Here is a 19,915-nt window from a genome sequence, read left to right on the forward strand (position 1 = left end):
GAAAGTAGCTCCTCAATGAATAATATATTATAAAATATGAAAGTGAAAAAATAGAAATTATTATGGATTCTAAAAATGAGAAGATGACCAAAATTGATGCAGTAAGGTATAAAATAGTTATTTTGGGAATTATGAAAGTAACGTGATTCCACCTGCAAAACAAAAGTATATGATTATTGGAAAATATTTCAACTGTAAGATGTATAAGCCATTGAATTTTGAGGACACAAGTTTGAAAGAAAAACTGACAGTCCAAACTACCTGAGACTACTGTTGTAAGCTCGCAAAAATTGAAAATCGATTTTCCACTACTCTTTAACAAGCATGTTCATTTAGACTACCATTTCTTTGGCGTCCATGAAATTTTTAAGGCAAATTTATTATTTGCCTTAAAGTTTTCCATATCCTACAAATTAGAATTAAATTGTTCTTATGTAAATGCTAAAATAGCATCCTTATAACTTAGAAAATCATGCTGGTGTTTGCATTTCTAAAGGAAAATGTAGGTTACCCAGGTAATTTGCACTATTTTGTGTAAAAATCACCTGAATGTTGAAGTATAAAATAGGCTTTTAAACTATAGCAACCTATGTGTTAAAAGACATCTATCTCAAAGTAAGACAAAATATGACTTCTCAGTGAGCATTTCCAATGAGGTGTTGACATGTTAATTGAAGCAGTTGAGAAATTCATTATCAAAATGCTCAGATATCAGGATTCTAGCTGATGTGCTTAGTAAAGCAGAATTCATTGACTACCTTTCTAATGATCTGTTCTGAATAACTTATTTTAAAATCTTTAGAGACCTTAGCTGCTCATCTCAAAACAAACATAATCTATTTAAAATTAACATATTAGTGAGCAACCGAATTTTTCTCAATTGTATCTTTCCATATAGCTGAGGGTGAGTAAAGAGTTAATACCCAGCCTGGGCTGTTACAGTAGTGCTGAGAATGACCCCTGATTCCTAAAGCATCATTTCCTTGAAAACAATGGAGATAAGCTACAGGGGGAATTGGAGTCGGCCTTTTTTACTGTGAGGGGCTGCACCTGCACTGGGGGAGCTGTGTATTGGCCTGAAGACCTTTGGCCCATGTGACTAGATGGTATGCAAGTGTGGTTTGGAACAAAGGCTGTGATTCCCTGTGTGAAGGCAATCATAAACACCCTGACTTTTGTCCATGGCAGCTGTACCTATGTGTCCTGTGTGATGAGGGGCAAAGGAAGCTCTTGAGAACCTGCTGAGTCTCCTGTGTGAGGCAGATGCTGGAGGTCTGATGGGTTTCCTGCCTCACATCCTCCTAGGGGGCTGAGTGAACATAAGGTTAGATTAAAGCCTATGGGTGTTCTGAGAGTCTGTATGACAATTGGAACCTCAAATCTCAGCAGTGGTGGACAGAAGCTGACCAGGCTTTCAGATCCTTTGAGACTCAATATGGCCAAATGTTCCAGGAGGGAGTTCTGAGGAGAATCTGATGCTGATCCAATCCGGTTTTGAGGTAGCCAAAGTGCTACAGAAAATAACATGCTGAATCTTATTATTGGAACATGGATCGCACAGGTTTATCCCCTGTTGAATTGGCAGATGGATGATCTGTGAGATAAAATTGAGAGGAAAGTGGCTCAAGAGACAGTTAATTCCTTGTTTCCTATTAATAATTTCGGGGGCTGGGGGCGGAGGCTCACGCCCATAATCGCAGAACTTTGGGAGGCCAAGGCAGGTGGATTGCTTGAGCGCAGGAGTTGGGGACCAGCCTGGCCAACATGGTGAAACCCCATCTCTACCAAAATTATGAAAAATTAGCCAGGTGTGGTGGTGGGCGCCTGTGGGCCCAGCTACTCTGGAGGCTGAGGTGGGAGGATTGCTTGAACCGGGAAGCAGAGGCTGCAGTAAGCTAAGATCGCGCCACTGCACTCCAACCTGGGTGACAGAGTGAGAGATCCCATCTCAAGAAAAAAAAAAAAAACTCATGGAAAAAACTACTCAAGGGAAAGAGACACAGCCAGTAAAGCAAGCAGCTTCATGACCTGAGCTCAAGATGAAAACAAAAGCCCAGTTGGTACTTGGAAGGACACTGCCCTTAATTTTAATCTTCCCTTCTGCAACTCCAGGCAAGTGACACTGCAAACTAGTGACTATAGTGCAGCCCTGTTCCATAAAAACATAATGTGAGCCACAAATAAAAGCCATGTGTGTGATTTTAATTTTTACATTAACTACATTTAACAAGTTAAAGGCAACAGGTCAAAATAACTTCAGTTTGAAAAAAAAAATAACTCAGTATGTTCCCAATATCTTTTCAACACTTATTGAAGGAAAAATTGAGATAGTTTTCATTCTTTATTTCATACAAAGTCCTTGAAACCTGGCATGTGTTTTACATTCACAGCACATCTCAATTCAGACTCTAAATTTCTAGTGCTCAATAACCACATGAGGCTAGTAGCTACCAAATTGGACAAAGCATAAAGAAGCTGGGTCACTTTGCTAAGAAGTGGTAGCAGTTCTCTAGGGAATCCATGCTTTCCTACATCTTTAATTTAATTGACTAAGGAGCTGATAACATATTTTTGGATGCAGTAGTGTGAAAAGTAATGTTTGGTGTGAATGCTAACCCCCAATCTGCTGCAGTGTTACCATTCAGGAATTACTGGCAGGTGTAATGTCAATGACTCTTTTGGAGTAGGTGAAGCCTGGGGTGGTATAAATCTATGTTGAGGACTGAGTGTGGCAGCTTACGCCTCTAATCCTAGCACTTTGAGAGGCCAAGGCAGGCAGATCACCTGAGGTCAGGAATTCGAGACCAGCCTGGCCAAGATGGCGAAACCCTGTCTCTACTAAAAATACAAAAAAAATTAGCCAGGCGTGGTGGTACATGCCTATAATCCCAGCTACTCGAGAGGCTGAAGCAGGAGAATCACTTGAACCCAGGACGTAGAGGTTGCAGTGAGCCAAGATCATGCCATTGCACTCCAGCCTGGATGACAAGAGTGAAAACTCCATCTCAGAATCAATCAATCAATCAATCAATCTCTGCTGAGAAGGACTGACTGATGCTCTCACTGCTGTGAAATGTAACACCTCTACAGAAGAGTAGATATGTTAAGTATAGCAGCAAATCTGGGGTGGCCATATGACAATGAGAAAGAAGCCTACCCAAACCATATCCCCCAACCAAAACTTGGGTAAGCACTGGGTTAGGAGAGTCCTTAGGCATGTGGCCCTCATTCTGGGAAGGCAGGAGGGTGTTTTGATTCATGGGTATATTAACTCTTGGAGCTACTACACTGGGTTTTACTGATGAGAAGAAAATCTAGGCTGTTCAGAAGAAAGATCATGGCCAGAGGTACATCTATAAGCTCTCTTTAGGTGGCTGTTAAGACACAAAAAGAACACAGCAAAAATTGACAGGATTTCTGTGAACTATTTCCCAGCAGATTATTGCCTGCTGGGAGGACGGAAATCTGTTCCAATTTTGGCAGCGGACTCCACTAAGGAACCCTGTTCGATCTGTTCTTTTCAGCTCAGAAGTTAAATCCCACGGTGCCAATGGGGAATGGAAACAAAAGGCACTGACATAGGTTGCTAAATTTACTCCATCAGTTAAGGCAGCTGAAAGAAACAGACTGACTCGAAGGCCAGGATTTCCATGCCCAATTCTTAATGGGGCTCTATGGCTGTGCTATGGTTAAAGATGAATTGTCATGGGGGTAGTGAACACAGCTTCTTGCAATTACCTGATGCCAAAGCAAAATATGTGGTAATATGCTGGGGAACAGGAAAGCAATATAAAGAGTCAAACAGAAGCTGCTTGAGCAGGGAAGGAGGCAAAGGATCAGCTATAGTAGCAGGTATCATGGTCACACTAAAAACTGTAGGTAGGAAAAAAGAGAGTAAGATATACTCAGTAGGTGGCACTGCCTTTAACCAAATGTATGATTGGAAAGGATGTGATACATAAATGAAGGATCTTGGCATCTCTGGCTTGAGCCTAGTCCTGGGCAAGTCATTCCTTAGCCCAGTTTTAATTGGATGTAATAAAATGGGAGCCCTTAGAATTGCCTAACTCGTCCTTTTTAGGAAGATTACAGGAACTCTCAGCTCTGATTAAGGGAATGGCGCAGGGGTGGTAGTTTTCATTAATTCTCTCTAGAATAGCCTGTCTGGCCTACGATAAAGCTAGATGGATCCTACAGGCTGACTGCTGACTATTTGGGTTCAGTAAAGAAGTTTCCCAACAGCCTCCACCATGCTGGCTGGATGTGGTGAAAACTATTCAAGAGTTTTGGACGCAAAACTCTATCCAAGAGTTCAGGACAGAGATGGCTGGTTGGATTTGATAGACTTGACTGATGCTTTGTTTTTAGTCTCATTGGTAAAAAAAAAAGTCAAACACAGCATGTCTTCATGTGAGGTGGACACAATTATAATCTTACTGTCCATCCCTAAAGGAGCCTAAATTCTCCAGTATGTTGTCACAACCGGATAAGAAACAATTTGGTCCAGATCATTGTCAAAAGTAAGTTTTTTAATAAGTGATACTTTCCCTGACCAAGCAGAAAGTCAGGGAAGAGTTTGGAAACTAGTGGCACCTGTGACTAGGTACGGGTGGCTAATTAATCCAGATAAGGTGCAAGGTCCAGCCCCATGAGTCCACTTACAAGGCATAACCTTGTCTGAGGACATTAGCTACAAGTCACAAACATTAAGGGACAAACTGCTATTTCTTCTGCTTTCTATTATTAAAAAAAAGAGAAAAAACTTGTGGCACTGTTAAAATTTGGCAGGTACATTTTGGATTTCTGTTGGCCCCACTGTATAAAGTAACCAGACTGAATTTCAAAGGGAAACTAAAGCAGACTGTGAGAGATCTAAAGCACGCAGTAGCCAAGCTGGTCCCTCTGAGGTCTTAACATTCACTGATTGTGCAAGTATCTGCTGCTAAAACACACATAGACTGGAGTTTCTGGAAAAAGCTCAATAGTGGCACTCTAAGGTGGCTGCTAGGATTCTAGACTAGAAAATCCTCTGACACTGTCAGCAGGTATAAGCTACATGAATGACAGCTACTGACATTCTCTTGAGTTCTGATTAGAAACAGCCGCCCAGACCAAAGGAATCTGAAAGGCATCAGTCCATATCTAGGCCTGAAATACCTACCCCATCATGGGTGATGTCAAAAAGGCATTCCAGTCTAAGTGCCCTGGCAAAATTAAAATAGTGTATTCAAGACCAACTCAAGGGAAGTGACTCTGCTGAAGTGTATCATGTCCATGTAAAAAAATTCTGTGTGACAATGGGCCAATGATGGACCCTGCAGCTGAGTACCCAGAATGGTCTGAACCTCATGACTCTCTTTCAACAGAGGCAAAACAGACCATCTAGTTTACCAGTGGAAAGTCCCATATGTGGTGAGAGCTTGTCCTGAGTATCAACAAGAGAAAACTTGTATGAAAATTGCTTTTGGCTTGAATCTTCCATGGACAAGTGCTAACACATAGCTGTAGATGAAATACCTAGGGTTCTTGCCCTTGGCTTCTGGAGGATTCAGTGGCTTTTGCCTGAAATTGACAGATATTCCATCTTGGGTTTTGTTTACGTTGTAACAAAAGCCATAGCTGAATATACTATTAAGGGCTTGGAACAAGGCATCTTTATATTAGCTTGGGCTTCTCAGATAGATCTCACTGAACAAAGGAACACATTTTAGCCCAAAATGCACAACATGGCCCAAGGGCACAGCATAGGAAGAGTACCTCATATCCCATCTGCCCAGAGAGCAAAGGCTTAAACGGATATTGGAATGGCCAATTAAAACATTTAATTATTAAAGATGAGATGACAAGGACATGGAAAGTCTGCATAGCCTTAATTTAGCTACTTAACTTTATGATTATTGGTTTCTTATTCCAGGAAAATATTTATTATACTACCTATCAGTTCTTTTAGGGTGAGAGAAAATATATAAACCACCGGACAAAGCACTCAAATTGCTGCTATTATATTATTCATATTTTGAGTGTAATATTACATTATTCTAGAAATTGCACAAAGCACAATAGGAAAGAATACAAATAACAACTTGAATCATTTTACTATTAGATGTTTTAAACTCAGAGTAACCAAACTAGCACTAAAATACTATGTAAAATAGGCCTACCCAGTCACCTGTTCTCCAGGTGGCCTTGCATTTGAGCACTATTACACTAAAAGGTTAACCAACAGCATAAAAGTAAAAACATCATTCACCCCTCAAGTCCTCACTGTCTTATTATTACAATACATGGGTTTTGCCATGTGACTGCTAGAATTCCTTGCAAATCTAATTTATGGAACCAAAGAGTCTTTGTGTTTTAAATGTGTTCCATGAAAGAGTGCAGATCATTTTGAATGTGCCCATGAGATGAGGCATGTGGAGTCATATCAGACCCCTTTCAGAAACAGGATCTCAACTCTGTGGGAAGGAAAGGAACAGACTCCTGTACAGGGTCCTGTCTGCTCTCGCAGTAAGACAGGGGATGAGAGAGACCATGAGCCCCTGGACCTTAAAAACATCAAGTTTTTTTTTTAATGACCTAAACAATAATTTTAAGCATGGATGAAGCTTTTCTATCAGCTTATTATTATTATTAGATTACTAAATTAGAAGAAGCACTGAAATATTTTATTACTAATTTTTCTGCTTTGCATTACCCAGTCATAAATTATCCTGTGTTTATGTATGCTTACGTGTGCAGTGATATTCCTTATTATAATTAGCACTCAAATTTTTTTTGAGATAATTTAATTTTCTGGAAATAGCTTCAGCTTACATTCTCATGGATTACATGTCAAAAAAGCAAGGAATAAAAAATAAGTCTAGAACTTTTGACTCAGAGACATTATGTGTTAGCCAATATTTAGTGGTTATAAAATTAAGGCCCTTGACAACATAAAATATAGAAAGTGGGCAAAATCGCTGATTAAAAAGTTAAAGAAGTAGTTTAGTTTACCCACAAGTAAACCTTCTTACTATGTTTCAAGCAAGTTAGAATGGTAGGCAACGAAGAATGGAGATAACCATTTAGCTACTGCACAATTCTTTTTACAGGAGTATCTTTTTTCTGTAAATTTAAAACTGACAAAAAAAAATTTCAGTCATTATGCTTCTATATCATACTGTGAGACTTTGTATGTCTCTTTTCATTTTATTTCAATTATTATGCCAAGCACTGATTCATATAAAATGCAAGTTATAGCTAGAAATATTAGAGACAGACAGAAAATAGAAGGGTGCATACAGTCATTGAATAAAATTGCTTCATCTCTGTCACCAAACATGATACTGTATATTAACACATGTGTGAGGCAAGGACTAATTTTGTATCTTCTTCTTAGTCCTCAAAATTGACCAGAAAAAAGAAAACTTATGTGGATGTGAGAGTGATGAAGGCATGAATATTGCTATTGAGTGTGAACAAAACATTAAGCATCTAGAACAGCATGAAGTATTGATTATGTGAATTGCTGTAAGATATAACAGCATTAAACACATTATTTGCATCTTAAAGTTTCTCCCTTAGTAGGTACCTTTGGGGCAATGCTTATACAATTAAAGTATTAAATAGATTATTCCAAATGTCTTTTTGCCAAATACTTTTTTGTAACTTTATTACCAAATAGGAATGTAAAAAACAAAGGAAAATTAAATTGTTATTAATCTCTATTTATATGGTTTCAAAATGTGTAGATTATTTTAAATTGCTAATAAACAGCAATGACTTATTTTGTTGGGAAAAATCATTGTCCTTTGAGAATATGAAGAACAGATGAAAAATGTGAATGAATTAAAATTGTTTTTCTAAAATATCTGTCTAAAATAAAATATTCAGTTTCATATATCTACACACATTTTTATATCATTTATAAATGGAAGGTCTAAAATAATGCAATTATAGATGAGGTTTAAAAAATACTTTGCTGTTGTAAGTCAATCGTTAATATAAAATTATTTGAAAGTTCACTCCAAGAGAACCCTGCATTTATTATAGATGACATCTGAATTAGCTATTAATTAGCCAAGTATACACTTGGCATATTAAACTTAGATTCAGAAATAGTTTGGACATTGATAAATGGTAAAATTTAAATTTAAAAAGATGAATGTTTTAGATGAAATATTATAGAGGACGGATAAGAAATCAATGGAATGATTTATTTAAAAATCTATATATCTATATCTAGCATAATATGTTAGATTCACTTACTGCCAACTTATAATTACGGAGTGACATAGGGTATTACAATAGACATCATATGTTAAAAAGCAGCATTTCTATTTTAATTAACATTGAGATGGAAGTCACTAAAATGCATGTAAATTTGAACAGAGATTATATTATTTTATTAAGTATTATTTTCCTGAACAGATTTTCAGAGAATATAGCTATAAGAAATAGCTGCGTTTAACATAAACTAAATATCTAAATATTTGTTTACAGGGAATAACTGAAGTCTTGCAATTTTTGTCTTATTTGAGAGGATGCGATTTCAACTCCTGATAGTAGAGTCATTCAAACAGAATTTTGTTTGAATCTAAGTTATTGGGAAATAAGTTTTCTTCGGGTATGCATGAAAGACATTTGTAGGAAACACTTTATCTATTTAAAGAACATCTTAGCTCTAGAATAGCATAAGCTGACCTGGAATGGAAAGATTATTGAATAATTAGTGTATATGGATGCCATATGGCTTTCAACCGTGAATCCTTCTCACGTTCATCAGAATAGTATATACGTACGTTTGTGTTTATCCTTAGACTATAGACTTGACAAATGCACAGGGCAGAAAATCAATTATTTATTATCCTTAGAAGCTATCATGAATTATTTTTAAAGTAAGACAGCATATAAAAACATAAGCAAATAAAATAAAGTTTGTGTACAGATGGTCAAAATGCAGTCAATGATATCTTTATTTTTTCAAAAGATAACCATTGTGCCTAGCAAAACATAAACTTGGCTAGGATTTCTTAAATCTAGAACTAATGATCCATTCCTATTTCATTTGCATATATAAATAATAATTAATAAATAATCATCAGTAGGGAAACAGGCACTAGAATACTGTGTGCCTATGTTTTCTTGCAGCAAACCATTGCACTATTACATTGCATTGTGGAGGAAGCTACATGAAATGCATTAAAGCAATCTCATTTCATTCATATCTCTCAACAAATAACATGTTCGGAAATACCTTGGCATGTCTTTTTAAGCCTCCAGGACTAAAGTAATGATATCATACATGGGAATAGCGACTCTAACCAAAATGCTTCCATATCATGCATACAGACACACACAAGCACACACACACAGCACTGGAGATAGCATCCATGACATGGTGCAGTGCGTAATCAGCACACAGCAGGCTGGGACAGTGTGGGGTGGGGAAATTTGGATACAAGAGCAAACTTGTGTTCTTTCACAATAGATGCAGGATTCTCTGGTACCTTCACAGAGGGAAAAGTAAGTTTAAAAAAGCGGTATACAATAACTAAGCCAATGCTGAGCCTAGTTAAAACTTTCCTAGGAATAATAATTGCATTAATGTAAGGTCCCCTGTTGTGACAAACTTTCTACAGTGAGACTATTTTATTTACTTTGCCTGTTCTGCCAAATTAGAGTACTGAAGAAAATTCATGTAAACCAGTACTCATGACAATAAAGGGCATAGTACCAACATTGAGACTCATTTTGATTCTATTTATTTCAAAATTTAGATTACTCAGACTGTTTCTAAGCAAAATACATAGTTTTAAATGACAAATTTGATCAGCCCAGAGCATTGTTAGTTTAGGGAAATAGTTTTCAACAAGTCAAAGAAAACAACCACCCCCAAATTTGCCCAATGCTTGAAATATTTTAAAAACAAATGGGATGTATAAACTTTCTTATGAATATATCTGTGTTATATTATTGTTTCTTCTATAAAAATAAGAATGTATTGACTTCCCATAAGATAAGCCTGTTTTTTCATTAGAGTTTTCATAAAGTAATATTTAATTAAATAGGTACCTTTCACTCTATAGTTTCTATAAACATTAACTGTTTAGCTACTGGAGATATAATTATGTTGGTCTCCCAGAGAAAGATTAGAGAGTCTGCTGTATAGTCTAATACCTACTTGTATCTATAAATATATATTGCAAACACTATATCTAATTATGTAATTTCCATGCAATGAAAAATTTACAGTTAAGATAATCAAATAAAAGCAAGTGGATCATGTGAAATTATCTTTCAGGGATGAAAAACAAAGGGAGAAATGGATGCTGGGAAATAAGATGTAAACTTTAGTTGCAAAGGACAATCGCTGAGTGATTATATATTATAAGAGAACGTAGCAAGTACTTTAAAATAATACCAGGTCTAGACAATCTGTTATGAGGTTGAGATTACTGCAAGAATTATTTAACATTAAGTCTCTTGCAGAGATGCTTACCTGCAGTGTACAATAGAATCATCTGGAGAACTACTTATAAATATAGTTTACCCCAGAAATTAAGTTTAGTAGACAGAACTATTTGTGTGTGACTTCTCAGGCTAAATTCTTGGCTTCAGTAGATTTCTGTTTAATTATTGCATACTATATTATGAACCCCCAAGTTAAACCACGTACAGACCCAAACTATCTATTTTAGATTGCTTTCCTAATATTTAGTCATTATACTTGGACATGTGTCTTTGTGACCTCTTTTTATTTGATAATTTCAAAGGATGCTGCTATCAAAACTAAATTGTTCACTTGCTATAAGTAACCTCAACATATTTTAACATTTAGAATGGATTCTAAAGATACACAGAAGGCACGAAGCATTTTGTTGCCTTATTTTGAGGTCTCTTGTGCAGTTGCTTTTAGAATTTGTTTGTATAAATAAATTTTCCATTTATTTTCAACTAATTTTATGCAAGCATCTGAGTGTTTCTTCTCTGGTGATTATTACAAGATATATGTGATATTTCTCTTTAACATATATTTTTAAATCATTTTGACCAATCAAATAGCTCTGTTAATAAAATGAAGGGTAATATTTAAATATCCTTTTATTGATGAGAGAAGACAAGAATAAAGTTTTTAGAAAAAGAAAATACCCTTCTTAGCTGAAGGGGGATGATATTTGCTCAGCTTTCAATACAAAAGGGGCTGTGTTTCCCCACCAAACACTGCCTTGGTAGTGCAGAATATGCTGTCTGCTTTTTACTGATGACCACATTCCTCTATTTAGAGTTAAGAAAGTCAATTTACCATATCTGAGAAACGGTAAAACTTCTCCAGTGCAAAAGCTTCTGTCTGTGGGAAGGTAAAGTGGACCAAGAGGAATTGAGAAACCAGAGAATCAATTCATATATGATTAAATATAATTACACAATTGGTTGTAATTGTATATACCATTTGAACAGACATATGTAGCAATTAATAGATTTTCACATATGCAAAGTATCTACCCCAACATACAAAACTGAACTTAAAAAACCTTTTTTCTTCATTAAATCATAATTATGTTTAATTACATTTGCTCCCTGAATATATCAAGTAGTTATCAGAAAATAATAAGATATGATTGTTTTTGCATTTCTGCATTTTCCCAGGGTACCAATCACTGGAGAAAATGAATGTTTCCCTCTTTCTATGAGCTAAAGAGGAAGGAGCATCAAATATTTTAATTTCACTTTTACATGTGGTAAAACTGAATAAAGAGGCACTTTGGTAAAAATAATTTTTTAAAAGAAGGAACCAGAATTGAGCATCTAAACTTGTTGTCTAATACTTTTTCTACTGGATATTATGATTACTGGATGTGTGGTGGATGTAGGATATGTCTGAGCTTTCACAGTTTACCCATTTGGACACCGGATGCACAATACTTCTCTTTTCTAGAATTTACAGGACATGCTTGATACATTCTAAATTGTATAAGGAGAAGGAAAAAGGTAAAGAAATGGAAAACCAAAATGACAAAAAGCAAATCATAATGATAGGGAACATGCGTATTGCTTTACTTCTAATTAATGATACTAGAAGGGAAAGTGGTCTTTATCAGTTACTAGTAACGAAGAAAGACCAGAGTGTCATCCCTGTGATACAGCATTTGTACTGTCGTTGTTCAACCGGTGCCAGTTATCATGAAAGAAAAGATGAGAAAGTAGGCGGTGGAGAGGGAGAGAGAAGAGGAAGAAAAAGAGATAAAGGCAGAATGAGGAGAAATGAGAAATGTAACAGACCAGTAGACCAGGGTGAGGTGAGGGAAGAAGATAAAGTTAATCTCCCCATCACAATATGTTTCAGTGTACAAAAGATATGCGTCTGTTTTCATAAAAATTTAATTAAATGCAAGTCTTAGCCTGTTTTTTGTTCATGTATTACTAAATCTCCCGATGCTGAATGCTGATGTTCTTTCCACGTAGCTGTTAATTGTGTGTTTATTGGAGCAGTGATGCTTTTGGGAAGGCCAATTAGAAATGATAAGTAAAGTTACTGCTTTAGAATATGTTTAATACTAAGTAGATTCAAGCACTGAGAGGTCAAAGCTTAGTGCTTTTTAAAGAAGTTTAATCAATACATAAATTGCAGTATAATTTATAAAGAAACCTTAAAAAATTGAAACCTTTAAATACTTAAAAATGCACACTATGTGAACTAGACTGTTACCATTAAGGTTTATCTTTTGACAAATATGCCAGGATATTGGATCCTTGCCACAATTACACAAAATTTTGACATTATTGTCCATTGCTTTAAAAGACCATTTGCTTTTAAAATGTCTGTTGGCACATTCACATTAGAAGTAAATGCGTGGATCTGCGGTTGATAGAGGCTCTCTCTTATAGAAAAAGAAAGGGGATTGGTCAAAACCACATGCATGTCAAGGAAGATGCCATTACAGTTCTGCATAGAGGAAGAACTTCATTTAGGGCATCCAAATCCAATTAGGGGTTTACTTCTGCAACTTCCTACGGTGTCTTCATGATGTTCTAAGTTTCCTCCTGGTTTCATCACTTATCAGATAGTAGCCAGGCAACAAAAGCACTTTATTGTGTTTCCCACAGGGTTTCAAAAGAAATGTCTTTAGCTCATGACAATATGCATCAAGAAGAGACCACAGAGATTTGCATGTATTTATCATCATGGTATTAGTAAATAAGTAATATTTGATGGAAATAATGAAATGAATTAGCTCTGACAAAGGAACATGAATAATTACATTTGATGACTTATATCAAGTGAAACTATTAGAAATGCTCTAACATTGCAAGTAAGAAATGACATAATTCATTAATTAAAATTTAAAAAGTGTTGTTCCAGGAAGCGCATTAAAAAGAACTTGATATAGGTCCCATGTCATCGGATATGCTGTTTAAAGTAGAGCTAGGTGTCATCATTTTCTCCCTAAAGCTATTTTTGACACTTTTAGTTTGGATTGGAAAAAAATGAAAGGAATATTATATCATTTCATCCCCAGTCCCAATTGCTTCTCTTTTCATCTCTATTAAATACAACAAATTCACTTTCGAGTGAAAACTGGATTCTGCCAAACCCAATACGTTTAATCACTTACCTTATTCTTTCTCTTTCGTCGAAATCTCAGAAGTTCTTTGTGTTGTCTTGATACAAAATTTACAGCTGCATACTCCAGAAGTGCTGAAAACACAAAAAGGAGGCATACTGCCATCCAAATATCAATAGCTTTGACATATGAAACCTAGCCAAGAGAGAAAGAGAAAGCAAGCAAATTCACTTATATTGTTACTTCCTTTGAGAACAAAACTGAGTTTTTCTGATTCTGAATTATGTCATTTATACATAAGTTTTAAAAAATAAAGAAAATGACAATTTTTTCTTGAAGTTTCCTTAGTTATTTTTGTAAATTTTATGTATTATGAGCATTTTGTTAATTTTTTTCAAATTTAGGCAATAGCCCAAACACGATGAAAGAAAACATAAGATGAAATATAATTTTACCTTCAGAACAGTATACTGCTTGAAAAGTATGAACATTGAAATATAGATAATGCTGTTGGCTTTTTAGTTCCATATTTTCATCAATTTTTTTAAAAAAATTAAAATTGTATTTATTAATTCTGTTAAGATATTTTTCTTTCATTGCATTTATAAATAATATATGGTTATTTGCTATCTATTTTGAAATATTTTTTGACTTTTATAAAGACATGTTATAAGAATAGTGCAAAGAGGTCAGGCTCAGTGGCTCACGCCTGTAATCCTAGAACTTTGGTATGCCAAGGCGGGTGGATCACCTGAGGTCAAGAGTTCGAGACCAGCCTAGCCAACATTGTGAAACTCCATCTGTTTTAAAAATACAAAAATTAGCCGGGTGTGGTGGCGGGCGCCTATAATCCCAGCTACTTGGGAGGCTGAGGCAGGAGAATCGCTTGAACCCAGGGGGCAGAGGTTGCAGTGAGCCGAGATCACGCCACTTCACTCCAGCCAGGGCAAAAGAGTAGAATTCTGTCTCAAAAAAAAAAAAAATAGTAATAAGGACTATCAGCTTCTTCAGTCGTTAATATTTAACTACATTTATTGTTGTGTGTGTATGTGTGTGTATATATATATACACATATATATATTCCCTCAAACTATTTGAGTGTAATTTGTAGACACAACACCATACACTCAACAAAATCAAAAATTTGACATTTATAACATTGATAAAATCCTACCACCTAATCCTTAAATCCCTCCCATTTCACCAATTGTCTCAAGAATGCCCTTTTTAATTTAAAAAACAGACTTTTTTTGTTATTTGTTTTCCAGCCCAGGATTTAATCCATGATCATGTGCTGCATTTTGTTGCCATATCTCTTTAGTTTTCAGTGTGGGACATTATCTGTCTCTCCTTGCTTTTTTGTGGCATTGTTACTTTTGATGAGTACAGGCCAGTTATTTTCTAAAGTTTGCCTGATATTTCCTCATTTACATTCAGATGATGGATTTTTAGTAGGAATTCCCAACCAGTGATTCCCTGTTCTCCACAGTGCATCATATCAGGAGGCACACAATGTTGATCAATTGATGAAGGTAATGTCTGCTAGGTTGCTCTATTATAAAATTGCTAATCTTCCCATGCATGGAATATTTTGAAGCTATATAAGTATTCTGTTACTCTTTAAATCTTCACACACTAGTTTTAACATTCGTTGATGATTTTTGCCTGAAGCAATTATTACAATGATGGTTACTCAGTGGTGATTTTCTAATTTCTTTATTCATCTATATTTATCAATTAGCATTCTACTGTAAGAAAAATTCCTGTCTTCTACATTTATCTGTTTATTCATTTGTTTATTTATATGTGTATAAACTTATGGATAACTGTTTTCTTCCAAGTGATGTAATACATTAACATCATTATTTATTTTGATGCTCACATTATTCTGGATTGGGCCATTAGAAGCCCCTAGATGTTAGCACATATATCCGTTTGACAAGTCGCCCTCATTATTTGAGCATTTCCTCACTTTCTGGCACAAGATACTCCAGATTCATCTTGTACTTTTCCTGTTCTTGTTTTTGAGTCAGCCCTTTCTCTCAGGAACTCTTCTGTAGTGAAGAGTGGTTTTTAGAAACCAAGATCTGGGCACTGGGTGTATTCACATCTCCCTAAGTGGTATCGTTTCTAGGCTCTCATAGTGGACAGAGCTAGCAATCACACACACACACACATATTCACACACACACATAAAATGTAGCACCTGTGTAAATTTCTGTATCATCTCTATCTATCCATCTATCCATCAAACATGAGCTTACATTACATCTCTATATCTAACTCAACACCACAGGGTTCCCTTTAGCCTATACCCTTTCTATATATGCAAAATTTTTCTCTAAAAGTGGAAAACTTGACTCCCATTATCCTCAACATGTACTTGATCATTCACCGTGTATGTGACTAACATCTCAATTCTGCCAACCATATTTTCAGCCTCAGCACCTTAATATAATGGTAGAACCAGATACTGTGATCATTCACCTCATTTTTGGTTCTTATGAAGGTGCTTTTTGTGTGCAGATTGTTGTTGCATTTGGCCTTCCTGTTGGGAGGATTATGGCTGGAGGCTTCTATTTGGCCACCATTGGCCCCATTTGGCTCCTTGCTCCTGGTCCCATCCCCCAATGGCCCCACTGGCCTTGGTCCTAACTAACTATTTATCCTGCTCCATAGGATCTGGCAATCTGGCAGCATCCTTGACTCTGGTTCCACCAGACCCAGCCAGCCTCCTTGATTCTGACACCTGCTCAGCTATGGCCCTACAGGTCTCACTGTGTCTTGTCACCTCAAAGGTAGAAAAGGGAAGGGAAGAACAAGAAAAAGAATGGAAAAAACAGACAACTTTAAAAATGAACACAAAGGGAAGAGACAGGAAGAGAAGAGTAAAAAGAAAAGCTACGTCCGTATTTTCTAGAAATAGACTTATACAGACCTAAGTCCCTTAGAAAAAGTAATTCAGTAACCTTTAAGCAACTGTTTTCATACTCAGTTTAATTGGGCAGTGATTTGAGGTTGTAGCTGAACTCATATCTGTGTATATGTCCATTGCTCAAGGTTGAAAATTTGCTTGAGTATTAGTTTCCGCTCTTATTGTATACATGTGCATATATTCCAGAGTTAAGGAAGCATATCTTGCAAGCAATGCCAGCAAAAACATACCTTTTGTGGAGTGAGCATGAGATAATTCATTTTGTTTCATACTTTATATAGCCAATTAGATGTGTAAAATGCTGTCATTTGCCAAGTATTAGAAATAAAAATGAGAGATACTTATATTTATGAAAGGTAAGATGTTTTTCCATCTTTCATTGGAAATGGACAATTAGCTACAAGTCTGTTTCCTTGCTATAAAAATAAATATCCTTACTTCCAAGAAGATGTGGATCTGGGAGAACAGAATGTCAGGCTGGGTTCAAACTAATTTGCCCTACTTCTTTGGACCCAATGCATAATTATCTTAAGGATCAACACCCTACATTTTAAGAACTTGCCTGTCTTTGTGCTGTTTATATCTTCTGTATTCTTTCCTCTTTCATCTTCAATATTTAGTGCAGCTATTTTTATGAAACGTTAGCCTGTGGGAATTTTGAACAGATTTAGATAGTAGTTTTAAAGGATAAGTGGCTCAACATTTGGGGGAAAGTTAGGGTGGCAGGAGTGGTAAATAAAGTAAGGAAAAAGCTCTTTCCTATCTTTCCCAGCAGGTTCTTCAGGTCTCAGGCTAGACTTTGCCCAAATCTGGTTCAGAATCTCATGGTACCTGTGCTGACTTGCTGTGTTACCCTAACACATTGCATTGGAATTGTTATTCCTTGTTTTTTTTTTTTTCTTTTTTTTTTTTTCCTGTTTGTAATGTGAACTCTTTGAGGGCAGATGACATCTCTGTTTTGGTCACCATCACATCAGCGTTTGTCACATGTACATATCTGCTGAGTGAATGGACAGATAAATGAAGGCATTAAATGGTAAACTACAGGCGTCGGGGGAGAAACTGAATCATAGATGACATATGGAGATTCACTTTCTGGAGCAATGCTTTCTTAATACCTTCAATTGGGTTGATTTTCTTTTTGAAAGAGTTTATTTCTTGACACTCGGAAGGGTGTCAACTTACATATGAAGTATTTCAACAGGGAAGCACACTGCATCTCCTCCTGCATTTTAAGTGTGACTTCTACTGATCAGAATCATCTCCACTGGGCAAAGAGCAGTGCATCTCACTTTATTCCAGTGCTGTATCAAATGTCCATCTGTTTGCAAGTATAGATTTAAATCTCATAAATTCTGTAATTCGGCCAGAAATTTCTGGCTGCTTCCAAATATATACAGTCCTGGAACAAGTAATATGGCTTTCAAAGATGCTGTCTCAAGCCACATTATTCCTGAACGAATATGACTCATAAAGTATTTGTGCATTCTTGAGCATCCTGAATCCATAATGACATGAACCACAGAAATTACATCAGAAATATAATTTCCAAATTAATTCAATGAGTGTTTTCAGTGACAACAAATATGTGGAAACATCATTTGTGCCTGTCAGGGTTCTGCTAATTGTTAACAGCTTAAAAGCATTGAGCCTAAAGGCCTACTTTCCTCATCATCTCTTCGAACCCCTTCACCAATTTCAAGTCTGTTTCTCCTCCTCCATTCTAGCTTCTCCGCCAAGTACAGCAAACACAGGACGTGGGAAGTTTGGAACTTTGGGGCTAGTAACTTTAAAATAAAGACAGCAGTTCTTACTTCAATGCATTCACAACACACTCATGACACACAGCGCACTCCCCATGGATTCAGAGTCATTACCTTCTTTGCTCCCCCTCCTGTATGTCTCCCTTTTGGGCAGTATCATTCCAATCTTGACCACCTTCCCAAAAGACCCATTGTCCACTGGAATCCTAGTTCTATATTCTGGAAGAATGCCTCCTCGGTATAACTCTGTGAATACCAGTGTCTATGGAAATAAAATCTAAAGGTTTACTAATGAGGTGCACTGGTCAGGGGACCTTTGTCCCAGAAACCACTCCCAAGCCATCCTGCAGAAGAAAGCTTCCTTCTCAGGGGGTGCTCTTTCCATGGCTTCTGTGACCTGTGTTTTCTGGGTTTCCCTCCCTCCACTCCACCCCATCGGCTTTGTGGATTCTCTTTCTTTTCCTGAGCTGCTTAGGGAGATGGCCTGGGCCCTTTTCTATTCTCACTGGGACACGACTCACTAATCCATCGTATCTATCCCTATGGATTCAGTTCCTCTTCTGTGCTCATGATCCCCAAATCTCTATTTCCTGACTAAAGCCCCCTTTATCCAGGTTCTTCCTTCACGGCACTCTGACTGTCTCCCACGCCTCAAACTGAATTTGACTAAAAAGGAGTCAAGAATCTCTACCAGACTACCACCTCCCCCACCAAAACAAACAAACAAAAAAACAACAACAGCAAATATGCACAGCTCCCCTCTCTTCTCATTAAGAGACTCCACTCTGCAGTTGTTCACCCCCAAATCTAGGAGGCTTCTCACTCTCTCTTTTCAAAGATTCAGCCCTGTTAATTATGTTTTCTTTCCATTTCTCAAGTTTATCAATTTCTGTTCTTCCTTATACTGTCATCACACTGATTGAAGCCACAGTGTGTCCTAGTCCCTCAGCGATATCCTTGACACAACAGTTAGTGAATCTTAAATGCAAATCTGATTGCATTGCTTTAGGCTTACAGTTCTTCATTTGCTTTCTGTTAATTTAATGTTCAAAATCTGTTTTATGGGGTATAAAGCCCTTCAAAATTAGCCCTTCATAATAATTCATATTAACCCTTCACATAAAGACTAGCTTTCATTTTTGTTTTTTATTCAACATTTACTGAATGCCGATGATGAACCCAAGTTCTGTTGTTAGGTGTTACAGGTATAGAGATGAGAAAGACAGACAAGCTCTATTATTAATGGAGCTTATACTCAAGTTAGAAAAACATACAATAAAAGCAAACACATACATAAGATAATTTAAAAGAAGTGTTGTAAAGAAAATTTGGGAGGGTAACGATATGAAAGACTGGGAGAAGGAGGCTATGTTAGATGGCAGTGGCCAGGGAAGACCTCCCTGTGGAAGGGATAATTACCACCTTATGCCAGTTTCTTAATTGCTTATTATGTAGTAGCTATATTTCCCTTCTTTTAGTTTTTGAAACCTGAAAGCAATTGACAAGCTCCACTCTGCCTCAGCTGCTTTGTATTTACTTTTTTTTTTTTTTTTTTTGCTATTACTTTGGACTGGAACCCTCCTTCTTTGGGTAACTACTGTTCATCCTGTAGGTCTCAGCTTGTAAGCTACTTCTTCAGGGAAACTATCTTCAAATGCCCAGGCCAGAATAAC

At 36.5% G+C, this 19,915-nt stretch overlaps 1 protein-coding gene across 9 annotated transcripts in view, besides 1 other annotated feature; it reads right to left on the reverse strand.

Moving 5' to 3' along the window:
- GLRA3 (glycine receptor alpha 3) overlaps positions 1-19,915 on the reverse strand; it is a 192,328-nt gene that overhangs the window by 8,539 nt on the left and 163,874 nt on the right. For 4 of the 9 annotated variants that reach the window (XM_047416195.1, NM_006529.4, XM_017008630.2 and 1 more), the window contains 2 exons: positions 13,596-13,739; positions 11,285-11,329 (listed from right to left, as the gene is read on the reverse strand). In XM_047416195.1, coding sequence (XP_047272151.1) covers positions 11,285-11,329; positions 13,596-13,739 — 189 coding nt within the window. Of the gene's footprint in view, positions 1-11,284; positions 11,330-13,595; positions 13,740-17,045; positions 17,126-19,915 lie in introns of those variants that run through there. The other 5 variants (XM_047416196.1, NM_001042543.3, XM_047416197.1 and 2 more) reach the window with 3 other exon arrangements.
- Positions 960-1,254: a silencer, noted in NCBI's record as "tiled region #9800; K562 Repressive non-DNase unmatched - State 23:Low". NCBI's record gives its function as "represses a minimal TATA promoter and a strong SV40 promoter by Sharpr-MPRA in K562 cells {active_cell/tissue: K562}" and the evidence as "EXISTENCE:reporter gene assay evidence [ECO:0000049][PMID:27701403]".

The sequence above is a fragment of the Homo sapiens genome, chromosome 4, assembly GCF_000001405.40.
Source record: "Homo sapiens chromosome 4, GRCh38.p14 Primary Assembly".
Classification (NCBI taxonomy): Eukaryota; Metazoa; Chordata; class Mammalia; order Primates; family Hominidae; genus Homo; species Homo sapiens.